Below are 17,148 nucleotides of genomic sequence, written 5' to 3'. Positions count from 1 at the left end.
GATCTTAGCAACCGCAGCATATGATTGCTTTTCTTTTCTTATGAAGTCGAGAACTTTCACTTTTTTACCTAAAGGAAACACTTTATGGCTTCTCTTTGGCATATCCCAATTGCCAGCATCACGACTCTTGTGTTTTGGGGACATATGAAGTCAAATAAAGATGACTTAAACACAAGCACTGTGACACCATGACAAGCCATCTGATCACTGAGACAGCTACTAAGTGACTAACGGGTGGGTAACCTGGACAAGGGGAGGATTCCATTCAGGATGGGATGGAGCAGGATGGCTTCAGATTTCATCATATTGAGAGGTGAAGCCAGCTGGATTTCCTGGGTCGAGTGGGGACTTGGAGAACTTTTCTGTCTTAGGAGAGGATTGTAAAATGCACCAATTAGCATTCTGTAGCTCGGATTGTAAAATGCACCAATCAGCGCTCTGTAGCTAGCAAGAGGATTGTAAAATGCACCAATCAGTGCTTTGTAAAATGCGCCAATCAACGCTCTGTAAAATGCACCAATCAGCAGAATCCTAAAAGTAGCCAATCACAGGGAGGATTGAAAAAAGGGCATTCTGATAGGACAGAAACAGAACATCAGAGAGGTCAAATAAGGGAATAAAAGCTGGCCACCCCAGCCAGCAGCGGCAACCCGCTGGGGTCCCCTTCCACCCTGTGGAAACTTTGTCCTTTTGCTCTTCACAATAAACCTTGCTACTGCTCACTCTTTGGGTCCAAGCCATCTTTAAGAGCTGTAACACTCACTGCGAAGGTCCGCGGCTTCATTCTTGAAGTCAGAGAGACCACAAACCCACCAGCAGAAACCAACTCCGGACACAACATTACTCAGGATGGCACACAATTTAAAACTAATAAATTGTTTCTGAAATTTTCCATTTAATATTTTCAGAACAAAATTGACCACAGGTAACTGAAACCACAGAAAGTGAAGCATTGGGTAAAGGGAAATTACTGCATTTCACAGTACATATCATATATTTTTATTTCTTTGACAAGCAATCAGGTACATCCTTGTATCTTCTCCTGTAAAGTTGCTTTTTGATTTGTTTGGTGCATTTTCTCAAATCGTATCTCATATTCACAGCTCTGCCCAGGTCAGCAGAGATTCCTAATACACTAGAAAGAACACAGTCTTTATTGAATGGCTATGTGGCCTCGGACAAACTCCTCAACCTCTCTGAGCATTAGTGCCCTTATCTCTAAAACAAAATTAGTAACACCCATTTTAGGGGCTATGACAGTTAAATGAGGAAGCGTTTAAGCAATATGTCATCTATAGCATTGCACACTGATGTCTCCTCCACATCAAGACTAGTTTTAAGGTCAGGAATAACTGTTGCCAACTGGCAGAATCAGTTTTTTTCTTCTACACTTGCTTTCAGGTATACAAAAAAGATGTAAGAAGTATAAAAGATGAAACGATTTTCCTCCATATGAGCAGTTTTGCCTCCAACACCTAATGTTTCCTTTTTTCCTACCTACACTCATCACAGAAGACATGTGATTTAAAAGAAGACTCTCAAAGGTTTCCTTTCAAACAAGACAAGTCCCATGGGGTAGGTCAATTCTCTCAACTGGGACAGTTTCTTAAAGCAAGAGTTGGTAGCTTCCTCCCCAGGGCCATCTGCTGGCCATCAGGTGGGACAGATTCCAGGGAAGGTGGAGGTGGGGTGCTAGGCTGAGCAGAGCAGTAATCTCTGCATCCTTGACCCCATGCCAGAGGACAGGGGCCACTGTCTCCTTCTTGTTTTCAAGGGAGAAAATAGAAACTGGTCCCTCTGCTTGAGAAGGGCCACCTCTCCCTTGGGTTAAGCAAGAGCTTTCCAGATCTCTGCCAGGTGGTGGCCCTCAATGGCCTCTGCCACATCATCCCTGCACCTGAAGTCTCCTTAATGCTCTTCCATAAACCTACTCAGTCATTACTTAAATAGGGAAATTTTCCATGAGCATGGCCTGCCCTTCCAGCCCTGACACTCTCCAAACAGCACTTTATCCCCCTGCTGGTGGAGAGCAAACAAACACCCTCCTTGGGGGCTGGGGCTGAATCAAGGCTCTGAGCCCTAGGGAACCATCCCAGCACCCTGGGTGGTGTTGGTGACACACTTTGGGGAAAAGTCTTCTGCTGGGAGTCAGAGGCCTGAGTTTGAATCCCCAAGTCCACCTGGTGTGGAACCTCCACATCCTGCCTCCTTCATGGAGATGTGGTAGGTTCTGCCTGGACGATCACAAAGAGGTACAGGCAGAAGATGCCTGGAAATTGTACCAACAATGCTAATCATATCCTCTACCCACTGTGTGCCTGCAAATCTCTTCTTCCCCCTCTCTTCTTCCCCTCAGAAGTTGCTGCCAGCCCATGCTGCACAGCCTGAAGGGCAGGGCACACCCTCCCCACACATGCAAACAGACACACACACACATGCACACGCACACAGACATGCACACACATGCCTTGGAGCATCGAGTGCTTCCTTTATCACCCTTAGGTTGTGATAGTACTCCCACCAGGGTCACCAAAGGCAGACATGGTGTGCTTTTACCCTCATTTAGTCCATGGAAGAAGCTCAGTAAGTATCTGTTGAATGAACAAATTAATCTATATTCAATTGAAATTAAAAAAAAAAAAAAAACAAGTGTCCTAGATTTCACTTCGTTTTCCTTTTAAGATTAAAAAAAAGGAGAGGAGAGAGGAAGATGGGGAATAGTACAGTCAAGGTAAAATAATTAGTTCCTTTCCAATTATCTGTTGCACTTTGTAGATTATCAACAAGGCAGGGCCTTCCCCCATGCCTGTAAACCAAACAAGAAAGGGCCTCGGGCTGGCTCTAGAGGGCAACAGTGAGTCCTACTGTGCATTTGTGTCTCTGTATCATTGCACAGACAACCGTAAAAGTGGATTCTGGGGGATCTTCCGTTTTGGAGGGACTACTCTTCTCTCCCACCCATTAGTATGACTAATTGAAAGCTGATTTAATTTCTATGCTTAGACAAACAAACAAACAAATAGAACAAAAATTATCACGGAATATTGAAAGTATTTTATCAACACAAAAACCAACATGCATGTGAGCCTTTTAATCACAGATTTGATTCAGCCTATGCCAACTGAGCACATGATACCTGCCAGGCTCTGAAGATGGAAAGAGGAATCAACACTGTGCTTACCGTCAGGAGCTCTCAGTCGAGGGCAGTTTCTCTACCCAGGCACTTTTCCCATTTTGGGCCAGATAATTCTTTGTTGTGAGCAGCCGAACCAAGCATTTTGGGATGGTTAACAGCATCCCTGGCCTCTCCACCGTAGCTGCCAGTCAGTAGTAACCTCCCCAAGTTTGGACAACCAAAAATGTCACTGAATGTCTCTGGAGGCAAAATCACCATAGTTTAGAACCACAGGTATAGGAGGAGGAGATTAAGTAAACAGCCACCAAGATGGACCACCCCGCCCGAGGCCCGGCACTCTGGACCCAGCACATGCTGGCAGTGGAGGGGATGCAGACAAAGAAGCTTGTTCTCTGGAGGAGGAACATTGTATGGACCCACGGCTGCTGACATGTGAGTGTATAAATGTGACTCTCCTTCCGCTCCAAGCACCCACATACCATCTTCACCCACCATGGGCTCTAATGAGGGTGGAGATTGCCTTATACAACAGAATAGAGCACTTGGACGAGCAGTCAAGTCTGCCTCATGAAAGACCAGGGAATGGCAGTTTATAGGTGGACTTCTCTGCATGGCACTTGAGGCTCTACCAACCTCAACAGGAAGCAGAATCTGAGTGACAAACCACCTCAGGAAAAAGAAAAAAAAGCTGCCTCATCACAACTCCTTCTGCATTGGCCACAGCGAACAGGGTTTGTGCTGCCCCTCCAGGGGATGTCCCAGCACCCCTACAGGCCCAGTCCCCCATGTGATGTAGAGGCTATAGAATGTTCTTGATTTGTAAGTAGTTTGAGCCACATAAGAGGCCAAAATGTGATTCATACAGCAAAAATTGCCTATAAATGCAGCATCTTGGTGACTGAGGGAGGCAGATTTAGAACTCTCTGTGGCTAGTTTAACAGAGCCCTGGATTACGTCTTGCCAATTTAAGCCGTTCATTCAAACTTGAGAAACGCCCTTCAGGAGGAAGTCGAGAGCCTGAAGCTGGGCTTGCAGGTCAGGCCACAGAATATGAGCCAGGGAGCCAGGGCCCCCACGCGCAGCCTGACCAGAGAGCTCCCCGGTGTCCCTCTCAACAGAAATACGAGCAAGACCTTGGTAGCCCCCCTCCACCACGCCATGAAATGGGTAGGCACCAGCCTCAGGCTTACTGTCAAGCGATCCACCAGGCCAGGGCGACACGGTGCCAGTCAAGGGAATATACAGAAGTCAGCAATGGGCTCTAGCCCTGCAGTAGTTAACCCTGTGCCTCCCCACACCCAGCAGACCTGCCACAAACACCAGCCTGGACAGTCGTCCATAGGGGTCTCCCACTGACAGAGCTGGCCTCCCCTGGCCCTGGCAGAAGGGCAGCTCCTCTCAGTAATCCAGGAAATATGCTGGGGGCTTCCTCCAAGCTCATTCTCTCTCCGTCCTGCTCTCTGCCCTGCACTCAGCGACATTCAACCCAGTGGGAGCTGGAGTGACCCCGGCTATGTTCACCTCTGCGGCCAGGACAGAACATGGAGCGCCTTTCTCACTGGTGAGGTCTGGAAACAGCTGCCCCCCATTTCCCGGATCTCTGGGAGAGGCCCGCGGACCAGAGAGTTTTCCAGGTGGTTGAGATGAGCAATGCCTTCAGGAACATGGCCTCAGGCACCTGTATTTCACGGAGGGATGTCATCCCAGCGCCCTGAGGGCTCTCAGGACCACAGACCAGAGCACTGGTTCTGCTCTGCAGCCACCTTGCAGTGAAAAACAAGGTGGTGCCTCGGGCTGCACCACCCCACCACGAGGGCCTCACTGAAGCACCACACAGTCTAGGGCGTCCAGAGCTGATGGAAGACCTGACTGCACCTGTGTTGTCGTGGAACGCCTTAGAAAGAGGAATGGGCTAAACTGAGTGCAGTCACACAGCTTGCAACCTGCCTTCATTGAAAATGACAATGTGGCTCAATGTGAACTCAAAGGCCTCACCCTGGGCACGTAAAACAAGTAATTCCACATAAAGAACCCCCTCAAACCATACCCAGAAGCACTTGGAAAAAGTGTCAACACGGCCTCAGACACAGTGTTCTCACCTCAAAAAAGTGATCCAGAGACTCCCCTATCTTAACTCTCTTTAATTCAAGTTCACTGAGCATAATTTAATTACAATAAAATTCACCTGATTTAGGTGTCACAGTACTATGAATTTTGGAAAATATATACAGTCGTGTCACCACCACAATCAAGATTTAGAATCTGTCCGTCAACCCCCAAAAATCCCTCACTTTGCTTTCTAGTCAACTCCTCCACCCACCTGGTGAGTACGGGTCTGCTTTCTTCCCTATAGTTTGCTCTTTTCCAGAATGTCATGCAAAAAGAATCACACAGTAAGGGCACTTTTGAGTCTGGCTTTTTCCACTCAGCAGAATGTCTTTTTATTGCTGAGTAGTATCTCACTGTATGGAAGTGACACAGTCTGTTTACCCACTTCCCAATGGAAGGACATTTGGAATTGTCTTCAGTTTGAGGCTATTATGAATGGAGAAGCCATGCATACACGTCTTGGTGTGCACTAACGTTTTCATTTCTCTCCTTTAAGTATCCGGGAGTGTAATCTCTGGGTCTATGGTAAAGGTATGTTTAACATCATAAGAAACTTCCAAAGTGTTTTTCCAAAGTGGCCGTACCATTTCGCCTTCCACCAGCAATGTATCAGAGTTGCAGTTTCTCCACATCCTCATCATCACTTCATATTATCAGCGTGGTTTTTTTGTTTGTGTTTGTGTTGGGAAGTTTTGATGAGGGTCAATTTGATGGTATTGAAGTTTTAAGCCATCCTAACATATATGTAATGGTATCTCATTCTACCTTAATTTGCATTTCCTTAATGACTAATGAGGGTGAGCATCCCTTCATGGTCTTATTTGCCATCTATGCATCTTGTTTGGTGAATAATCAGTTCGAGTATTTTTTGCCCATTTATTACATTGAGTTGTTTCATTTTCTTGTGAAGGGGCTGTAAGAGTTCTACATACTCTGGATACAACTTCTTTATCAGATATGTGTTTTACAAATATTTTGTCCCCATGTGTGGCTTGTCTTTTTATTTCTTTGCAGTGTTTTTCAAAGAGCAGCTGTTTTTAATTTTGATAAAATCCATTTTTGCCAACTTTTTCCTTGACAGTTCATACTTTCTGTGTCTGAAGAAAGTTTTCTCTAAGCCAAGACCACAAAGATTTTCTTCTATGTTTTCTTCCAGAAGGTTTACGGTTTTAGGCTTTACATTTAGGTTCATGATCCATCTTTGTTGCTTGTACATGCTACAAGGTATGTGGTATGGGTTTTTCTTGGTTTTTGAATTTTTATATGGATGTCCAATTGCTCCATTTATTTAAAAGATTATCCTTTCTCCACTGAATCATTTTGGCGCCTTTGTTGAAAATCCATTGATCATTCATGTGGGGTCTGCTCCTGACTTCTTCCTATGTCCCATTGGACTACAAGTCTGTCCTTTTGCCTACATGTCCTATAGTCTGCTCTTGATTACTGCAGCTTTACAGCGATTCTGAAAATGAGGTACTGGAAGTCTTCCAGCTCTGTTCTTTTTCAAAATTGCTTGGCTGGTCTAGTTCTGTTTTTTGTTTGTTTGTTTGTTTGTTTGTTTGTTTTTCTCACTCTGTCACCCAGTCTGGAGTGCAGTAGTGCAATCGCGGCTCACTGCAACCTCCACCTCCCGGGTTCAAGCAATTCTCCTGCCTCAGCCTCTTGAGTAGCTGGGATTACAAGCACGTGCCACCACGCCTGGCTAATTTTTGTACTTTTAGTAGAGACAAGGTTTCACCATGTTGGCCAGGCTGGTCTCGAACTCCCGACCTCAGGTGATCCACCTGCCTCAGCCTCCCAAAGTGCTGGGATTACAGGCGTGAACCACGGCACGCAGCCTAGGTCTTTTGCCTTTCCATAAAATTTTTTGAATTATCTTGCCAATTTCTACACAAAATCTTACTGGGATTTTAATTTGAGCTGTGTTGAATCTCCTGATCAATTTCATGTGGATGTCTTAGTCTTTGAAAGTAAGGGAGGGGTCATTTTCCAGGGGGATATCATTCAAGAAAGACTAACCAGTTCCTCCCAGACCTGTGGACACAGTAGGGCTTTGTTAAATGGCCTTGGCTGTAAGGACATAGAGGGGCACTTGTGGAGGGAACAGGGATGCCGCCTGCCTTTCCCACCTGTTGCCTGAGGCAGACAGGAAGGAGAAGAAATAGAGCTAGGCTCTGACCTGAGAAGCTGCCCTGAGACCCAACAACAGAAAAGAGCATGGAGCATGGTTCCTTGATAGATCTGAAAAGGAGACGATAAAGGGGGGCTGTTGGAGGGTGAGTTCACTGGTCGGCGAGAGACAAGGGAAGTTAATCCTCCATGGGAAATAGCAAAAGCAAGGGGTGGATGTGGCAGGAAGCTCAGCGTGAGGAGACAGCAGCGTGAGGAGTGAGGTCTGAATCCCGTGCTAAAGGTCAGGATTCTGCTGTCTACACGGGGAAGCCCAAGGGGCCTTCTTAGTGGGAGGGGCGTGGTCAGATCTGTGTTTGCGAAAGATCCTCTGGTCACTGGTCAGCAGGCAGAAGGCTCCCCGGAGACCACTGTGTAGGTGTGGCAGCATACATGTCATGAGCAGGTTTGACTGGGAAATGGTCACGTGGTCAGAGCAGAAGGCACCAAAAGCACAAGGCCACCAACCCAAAGGAGACAGGGGACTAAAGGGGTATAGGAGAGGCACAGAAAAGACACATCCATCTGCTACATTAACCTCTGGACCCCGAAGGGCATTTACCCTTCTCCTAGCAAATCCACAGCCCCATGCCACGCTCTGCCATGAGATGCTGACAACCACCCTCGGCCCTCAAGAGTCTCACTAAGGAAAAGCATATGACTTGGGCACTCCGTGAATATTCATAGGCTGCCATTTAGGGGCAATATTTTGTGTTAAGGCCATCAAAAACGCAACCATCCAAAAGATGGCTTTGTTTTAAGATTATACCATTGGGGTTGAATAATTTCTTGGCAACCCTGTGTATATCTGGTTGGAGCCTCACTGTGAAGTCTGAAAAAGAGACAGATGGAACAGTCTACCAGAGAGCCTCAGTGACAGAAACAACTATTCCCTGGAAGGGGAAAAAAGGGCAGAAAGGCATTTTTGTTTATTTTTACAAAATTTGGAGGAAAACGGTCTCCTCAGCTGTCTCCACAAGATCAAACCAGCCCCAAATGGGAGTTGCTAGGTATTTGCCAACACTTGAAATCAAAATCCAATAGGCCTGATGGCTGTGGTTCTGGTCTTTTCCTCCCTTTTGTATTTCAAGATGGCAATTTCATTTGCTCATTGATGCTGCTTTTTCATTCAATAAGCATTCTGATTCATCTATGAACTTCAAACTCTGCTTCTAATCTAAATCAGAACACAAAAGTACACAACCCCTTCACTTCTTCTAGGCCATCTGGGCTCATTCTAAACAAAAACACGAGCACAGTCTCAGAATGAGTGCTTAATCACCCCGGGTCTGTACTTTGTTGTAAAGGCAGGCCTCCAATAGTCTAGCTCAGGACGGTCACACTGTGAGCAGTTCGATCACACGCAGGTTCCCCAACTCTCTCTTTCCCCGTCCAGCCCTCGAGGGGTGCCAGGGCCTCTTACGGGGCCGGTGACTATAACTCCCATATTAGGTTTGGGCACAGGCCTGAACAGGATGCCAGATTTAGCCTTTCTTAGGTGAGAAGCCAATAGAAAGAAGTCAGTTGTGGGAAAGAACTGCATTTAGACTTTGCTTAAGAGTCACAACTCTGTGGACCTCCATTTAACTATCACAGAACCAAATGGAAAATTTGCTTCCTTCTTCGTTTATTAAAGAAACATAACTAATGAAAAAACAAAGCAAAATCGTTGTGTTAGGAATTAGTTCACTGCTCTCATCCTCCACTTTCACGAGCTCTTCTTAGAAATACAAGCATAAGTGACATGTGCACAGATTCCACGCATTAGTTCACGTGTTCTCTCCAGTATCAGACAAGTGAGAGCCAAAGGGGTGATGCTCACCTCTGAGCCTGTTTCCTCTTTTATCTTGGCCCAGGGGCACTCACCAGGAGGGAGCAGCCTTCTTCACTCTGCTGCACTGCGTCAGGCAGGAAGAACATCTAAACTCTCTTTCAATCTTGCAGAAAGAGAAAAAAACAAAACACCCACACAGTGGGGAAATTGTTCCCCACTGTGTGGGTGATGGGGCCCCGAGAGCTGTTATCTGCAAAGGGCACTTCTGGGGGTTACCCAGCTGTCACCACTGTGTGGATTCCACCCAAAAACCTCAAGCCAAACAGTGGGGAATGAACATCAAGAGACAATTTTCCACTCTGTGAAAATGGCTTGACTTTACAAAAATAAATTAAAGCGCCATGATAATAAACGAAACATGAGCAGGACCTGTTGTTAAGCGCGCAGGCAGTCATGGCAGAGGCTCTCCTTGCTTGGTACATTTACACCATCGAAATATGATGATTCTTTCTCTGCTTCCTGACCCCTCAGCTCCCTACCCACATGCTCATATGAAGACACACACAAACACATACACCCCCCCCAACACACACACACCCCTCTATACCACAGACAGATCTGGAATAACTGGTCTAGCAAGAGTTAGAGGTGTCTGGGGTCAGCAGTGGAAGTGGTTGGGGTGGGCATGTGTTACACTGTGTGTGTGTGTGTGTGTGTGTGTGTGTGTGTGCGTGTATGCATACTTGCATGCTCACATGCGGGAGGATGGTCTCACCCTGAACGCTGTTCATTTGAATAAAGGAGAGCTAACAGCTGAAGCACCACTGCATATGCATGCAAACAAAATCAGGCCTCCTTTGGGCCTCAAGTCCTCTGTTGCCACACAAGAGCCCCTCCGGCTCTGAGGCAATCCTGCCCCCTCTGTGTCTGCAGCAGCCTGAGAGGCACTGCTGGCTGGCCAAGGGTACAGGATTTTAGTGACTTCTTTCCCTCCTCTGCACATTCATCGCCTTTAAGGTCCCCAAATCCATTCTTCTTCAAGAGTGAACCCATCCTCCCAGTATTGTCATTTTGGAACCACGTTTTCCTGTCCCCCTTTCCTTCATCCCCTCTTCTGTCTACTAAAGGAGTCTGCTGGGGCTTTCCCCACCATCTCTCTTGGTCCTGACGCCCATGTTAGAATTTTGGAAGCAGATCTGATCTGCTTCCAAATTCCAAATCTGGTCTTAGATTTAGAATCTAAAGTCTCAAATCTTGATGCCAAAGGTATCCCTACCCACACAAAGAGGACCCCTTCCCTCAACTCTGGCATCTGGGTTTGGGGTCAACATGACAAGGAAAATGGTAATCGATAGGAAAACAGTATGGCCCCTCCTCAAAAACTTAAACTTAGAGTTACCATAGGATTCAGGAATTCCACTTCTGGGCATGTACCCAAAAGAATTGAAAGCAGGGTGTCAAAGAGATATTTGTACATCCAAATTCATAGCAGCATTATTCACAGTGGCGAAGAGGTGGAAGCGACCCAAGTGTCTACTGATGGATGAATGGAGAAACAGAACGTGGCCTATACATGCTATGGAATATTATCCCACAGAAGGGAATGAAATTCTGGTACATTCTACAATATGCATGAATCTTGAAGAATTATGCTAAGTTAAATAAGGTAGTCACGAAAAGGCAAATGCTGTATTATTCCACTAATATAAAGTCCCTAGAATAGTCAAATTTATAGAGACAAAAAGTAAAATGGTGGTTGTCAGGAAGTGAAGAGGAGTTGAGGAAGGAAATGTATTGTTTAATGGGTATGGAGTTACAGTTTGCAATGTTGAAAACGCTCTGGAGATGGACAGTGGTGTTGATTGCACAGCAGTGGGAATGTATTTAATGCCACTAAACTATACACTTAAAAATGGTTAAAATGGTGCTAGGGTTTGCATGTGTTCCCTCAAAAATTCAGGTGTTGAAACTTAACGGCCAACGTGATGATATTAAGAGGTGGGGCCTTTAAAAGGTGATTAAGCCATGAGGGCTCCTCCCTCACGAATGAGAAGAAGACCCTTATAAAGAGGCTTCATGAAGCCTTCCCCTCTTGCTCCTCTCCCTTCTGCCACGTGACAACACAGCACTCCTCCCTGCCCATGGCTGCAGCAACAAGGCACCATCTTGGAAGCAGAGACCAGGCCCTCACCAGACAACTGAACCTGCTGGCGCCTTCATCTTGGCCCTCCCAGGACTGTGAGAAAATAAATTTCTGTTCTTTATAAAGTACCCAGTCTATGGTATTTTGTTATAGCAGCACAAACAGACTAAAACAAATGGCTGATTTTATGTTAGGCATATTTCACCACACAGGAAAAAAGTAATCGACTAAAGGATAGAAGTTTCAGCCAATCCAAACAAGCAAATAGGATTTTTAAAGAGGGAACTCAACCAGAAACCTACATCCCTCATCTTCCTCCTGCTGGATGAGGGGAGAGGTAGGTGGCCAGGCTAGGTGTAAGAGGGAGCAGAAGAGTCACGGTGGCCGGGCGTGGTGGCTCACACCTGTAATCCCAGCACTTTGGGAGGCAAAAGTGGGCGGATCCCTTGAGGTCAGGAGTTCGAGACCAGCCTGGCCAACATGGTGAAACCCTGTCTCTACTAAAAATAAAAAATTAGCTGGGCGTGATGGCAGGTGCCTGTAATCCCAGCTATTCGGGAGGCTGAGGTATGAGAATTGCTTGAACCTAGGTGGCAGAGGTTACAGTGAGCCAAGATCATGCCACTGCATTCCAGCCTGGATGACAGAGCAAGACTCTGTCTCAAAAAAAAAAAAAAAGAAAAGAAAAGAAAAAAAAAGAAGAGTCAAAGGGTGACCTGCAGGCTTCTAAGAGAAAAGATCAGGTCCTCCTGTGGCCGAGGGGAAGAAAAGCCCTGACCTGCAAACAGCTCTTCAGAGACACCTCGTGAAGTGTCATCAATTCTGGGAAAATGGGGATTTCCCAGAAGGTAGGTTTGTCCCCAGCACAAATTTACAAATGTTGTTGTACTTTCCAGAATGTTAAAATCAGAATTCCTTAGATTTCAGAAGTAATTTTTGGAAAACACAACCCTTTGATCATCCCTTCTCCGTTTCCACAGTATTGAAGATGTCAGTCCGTGAGCAGGTCACATGCTCCTCGGTAAGTCTTCCCAGCTTGGCTTGTGTGAATCAGACATTCATATTTTGTGAGAGGCCCAGCCAAGCCTAGAAAGCCCTCATGCTGTCTCTGAGTTACTGCAATCACTTTCTAACCATTCTTTCTGCTCCCAAAGTCTTCAGACTCCTCTACAGATGACACCAGCTGCTGCAGGCAGCCTTTTGTGAATACCGGCTTCACTGGGCTACCACTCGCTCCCTGGTCCCCAGATCCCAAGGTCGATGGTGAAGGACCTTGGACCTTGCAAGGCAGCCTCAGGAGATGTCTTCACTTTCCTTCCCTCAATCTCATCACTTTCAGTTGTCACTTCTCCCACTTACTGAGATTTTTGTTTGTTTATTGTTGCACTTATGTAAATATCCATGATATTTGTTAATTGCTCTGCACTTAACACCTTAAAGGTTATAAGGACAGCCTGGAGACAAACATCTCTGGAAACACAGCAGGGGGAAACCACATGTGCTAGGATGTCTCCTGGGGAGAGCAGAGCACAGAACGTGGGGGCTGGAGCCTAAAGAGGCAAGCTCATGTACAACAGACAGCTGCTAACTTCCTCCTTGCATTTTGTCCAACTCTCTGCAGGGCTTGTTTGAGGAGTAGGTTCTAAGTTTGGGGTCAAGGCTGAACTAGTAGAACTACAGAAGCAATCTGAAGCCGCCAGGATCCACCCCACACCTCCACACTCTCCCCAAACTCTGCCTCTCCTCCACAGCAATGCCAGACAGCAATTTAAAGACTATTTGTTCTGAGAGACCCATGTTATCAGCCTACCAGGGGCATCTGCCTGAGTCAGCTGGGCTTCCCTGCCACTTTCACAGTTTGGAGGAATGAGGATGGTTTAAGATTTCCTTCCTCTTAGAAGCCTACATTGGCCAGGCATGGTGGCTCACTCCTGTAATCCCAGCAATTTGGGAGGCCAAGGCAGAAGCACTGCTTGAGTCTAGGAGTTCAAAACCAGCCCTTGCAACATAGTGAGACATCATGGGGAAGGGCAAGCTTGTCACTGAACTAGAGCAAGATCTTAGCTGTCCTCATTCTGGAGCAGTCCACCTTGAGAACATTCTAGAAAAAGAGGCTCCTGCAAGTTCTGGAGAGAGCACTTCCATACCCACCGCACCCCACCATACCACACAGTTGGTTTTAGGGTTAGGGGTCCGTGTGCGCACCATGCTTCTTCCTAAGTGTGCCATAGCTGTGTGCCTCAGCAGCTGCAGCAGCCTGGCTGGGGTTACAAGGGAAGAGCACCCGTCTGCAGGACACCACACTTTTGTCGTGGGCATGCATCATGCACTCATAGGACCGGAAACATACAAACAATTGATGGGGTTCAGGACACAATACACTAAAAAACGGCACCTTGGCATTTGAGAAAACAGCAGAAGCAGGAAGGTCACTCTCACCTTCCCCTTCCCCTCCGCCCCTGATACAGGCCATAAAATTCTCATTTGAGAGGTAGCCTCCATATACCCAGAGAAAAGAAACATACTTATCTCTGAAGACACAGGACCACAGAATCTGAACAAACAGGCTAAGTTTGTTAAGTCCCCAATCCCCCACCCAGTTTATCACCATTAGATCATACCCTCTTTGTCCAATTATCCATCTCTACAACTGTGCACTTCTCCATCAAACTAACATTAAAAACATACAGGTTTCTCTGTTACTTTGGGTCTTTATTTCCTTGTGAGAGCTCCCATGTTATATAAAACTTATATTAAATAAATGTGCATGCTTTCTCTAGTTAATCTGTCTTTTGTATGGAGACTCAGCCATGCACCTAGCAATGGGCCAGGAAAATGTATTTCTTTCCCCTCCATGATCTTGAGCCTCTCTGGAGCAGTTTCTTTCATAGGTCTCCAGAAATGTCCCACATGAGAACCTTTCTTCCCACAGGCTCATTCCAAGGGCTTGAGTCCTCTCCTGCCCTCTTCCTGCTGTAACCTACATGGCTCCCCCCCAGCTTTCTAGCTCTCAGGTATTGCCTATGATTGCCCAATTCACGTGTATATTGAAACCATGTATACACTTGTTATGAGCATTTTTAGGAGGCAAACTTCTTTCGAAATCAGGTGACTTTAGGTTGTCTGTGGGCAGCTGAGCAGACATCCCCAAGCCCGAAGCCTATGACCACAGGGTGGCACTTTGGGAGGCTGTGAGCACAGTTTTTGTAAGGACAGGACTGCTTATTACCCCTCCACTGGAGCTGGATCTTACTTTAACATCTCAACGCATTTTGACACATGCAAAGGGGAAAATGTTGATATCAACACAAGAAACAAACATTTTTCACAAGTGTAATACAGTAGAGACCAAGACAGAAATCATGAAGCAAGACAAAAATAGGGCTTTTTGCCACTGTCAGGCATCCTAAGACACAGAGAGAGAGGCCTGGCATGGAAGGTGGCAAGGGCTTCACAGACAAGCCCTTGCTGGGTTTCTCTCTGCTGGGACTCACCTCTCATGCAGGGCATCCCCGTTTTCAGGCACTCTTTAAGAGTGAGAACATTACCCAGATAGTGCTTCTGTGTCATGCCCTAGAATATCCCTTTTTTTGTTTGTTTTGAAATAAATGTGCTATCTACCACCATGTTTTCACAAAGACCTCGTTCCTCTAAATAGCAATGTGCTCTTGCCAATCAAGCAACTAGAACAATTCCATCTGCGACACGGACATCACAGGAAAGCAACCACCAAAAAAAAGCTCAAAATCTGAGACATAAGCAAACCAAGAGCTATAAACTGGTAAGGATAATTCTTAAAAGAAACAAAAATGTAAACATTTACCTGTGGCTATAGCGAATGGCTATCGTCAACCCAAGCTGTAATTAAAAAGAGAGAAAAACAAATTAAGTAATATCAAGAGTATGCAGAATTCACACAAGAAAATTAACTTGATACGGCCAATTACGTTTTAAAGATTTTCTAAAATGCCCTACAGCTAATGCTTCAAAAATAACACATTTTAATGACAGATATTTAGTTTCAACTTAGCTCTTACAGATAATTTGTATTTTGAAAGAGTCTTACAGAGGCGTAAAATATTTAGTTGTGGATTAGACAGGAGGTGTCTCTCAATAGGAATGGCTTCCAAAATAGGGGTCTTTTAGCTCCAAGACACAGTTGTGAAAGGATGGGATTGCAGCATGTAGCTGATTCCAAGGTTGGCATTAGGAGAACACGCATGTAGCTGATTCCAAGGTTGGCATTAGGAGAACACGCCCACACATGGTGGGATCCTGGGAGCTGGTCCCCCCTCTATCTCCTACCCTAGGAGCACCAAGTGGAGCCCAGGCCACCTGGGCCAGAGTCTCCCTATGCGGATCATCACAGCCTTCACACTGATCCCATAAGCTCAAGGCGGGCAAGCCTCAGCTCTGAGCTCTGAGGTCAGCAAATAAATCAAGCCTGAAATTCATGTGTGACATCAAGATATGGTGCATGCAATTGCTGGGCACAGCAACAAGTGGAGGTTGAGGTGAAGCTGTGATTTCCTCTTTACTCTGCAGGGATGATGAGGAAATCTCTCAGGCATAAGTGGGGGTCAAATCATATGACAGGGGCCCTGGCTAGTTCACAGAAGGGATTACAAGGGTCAGGCCAGCCAGTCAAGTTCAGCTGCATCAGCAAGTTATTGAAACTGTCAGAGCCTTAATTTTCCCAACTGTAAAATGGGCAAATTTATTACTTTCTCACAGAATTAATGTAAGGATGAAGCAATTTTTATGTATTTGTGTGTTCTTATCTCTGTGTGTGTATGCGTGTGCCTATTGTGTGATAGGAAAAATTCTATAAATAATAACTACCACTAATAGCACTATATACAGGCAATACTCCATTTATTGAAATGTTAGTACATTCCAAAATTTAATTTTTCAATGAGTTCTGGGAACTTTGAAAATATTTCATCATACAACAAGTGATGACCAGGTCAAACATGCCTATGTAAGTTTCACTAGCCCATTCACGAGGTCAGGAGATCAAGACCAGCCTGGCCAAGATGGTGAAACCCCATTTCTACTAAAATACAAAAAATTAGCCAGGTGCGGTGGCGGGCACCTGTAATCCCGGCTACTCAGGAGGCTGAGGCAGGAGAATCGATTGAACCTGGGGAGGTGGAGCTTGCAGTGAGCTGAGATTGCGCCACCGCACTCCAGCCTGGGTGACAGAGTGAGACTCCGTCAAAAACAACAACAACAACAAACAACAACAACAACAAACCTAAGCATCATCTGAATATCATTTCTGTAGCCAAAGTCTAAGTTGCACCTTAAGCTTAAGATCCCCAAACATCACTTATGGTTCCCTTGATGTTGGTCCAAATAGGATGGGGTGGGGAAGTAACATTCATGGTGCTGTCCCAGGTGGTGCAAGATGATAGGAGGATCCCCAGGCTGTGGGAGGGTGAAAGGGGAGGGAGAGCTATGAGAAGAGAAATGGTTGAAATTAAAAAGTCCAACGCCACTGCCCAGCTCGACGTCCTGCAGAATCCCCCAGATACTGTTTGAATAGCTTGGTTCCAGAATAATTCAGCCATGCATACCACTGCAGGCATCCAAAGTACAGGACCAACGAGGGCAAGCCATCAGCAATCAGAGACTTACGTTTGCAAAAAGAACAGTTCAAAGTGAAGGTATGAAATATATAAAATCAGGTTGATTGCACATCACAATCACCTGAATTTTTCAATTCTCTATCTCAACTAGGAGTAAATTTTCTTTGAAACTTAAGCAAACAGAAGAGGAAGATGCCTCAGAGACAATCAAGAATTTGAAGAACAA

General features: G+C 45.8%; 1 protein-coding gene across 31 annotated transcripts in view, besides 1 other annotated feature; it reads right to left on the bottom strand.

Moving 5' to 3' along the window:
- The window catches only part of ACOXL (acyl-CoA oxidase like), a 385,976-nt gene that overhangs the window by 261,989 nt on the left and 106,839 nt on the right, over positions 1-17,148 (bottom strand). For 28 of the 31 annotated variants that reach the window (NM_001437600.1, XM_011511414.4, NM_001142807.4 and 25 more), the window contains one exon: positions 15,155-15,189. In NM_001437600.1, the coding sequence (NP_001424529.1) occupies positions 15,155-15,189 (35 nt within the window). The other 3 variants (XM_017004433.3, XM_017004434.3, XM_011511434.4) reach the window with 3 other exon arrangements.
- Positions 9,329-9,398: an enhancer, noted in NCBI's record as "active region_16375". NCBI's record gives its function as "activates an Ori minimal core promoter by ATAC-STARR-seq in GM12878 lymphoblastoid cells {active_cell/tissue: GM12878}" and the evidence as "EXISTENCE:reporter gene assay evidence [ECO:0000049][PMID:35858748]".

This window comes from Homo sapiens, chromosome 2, assembly GCF_000001405.40.
Source record: "Homo sapiens chromosome 2, GRCh38.p14 Primary Assembly".
Taxonomy (NCBI): domain Eukaryota; kingdom Metazoa; phylum Chordata; class Mammalia; order Primates; family Hominidae; genus Homo; species Homo sapiens.
This window is presented reverse-complemented; position numbering and strand designations above follow the sequence as displayed.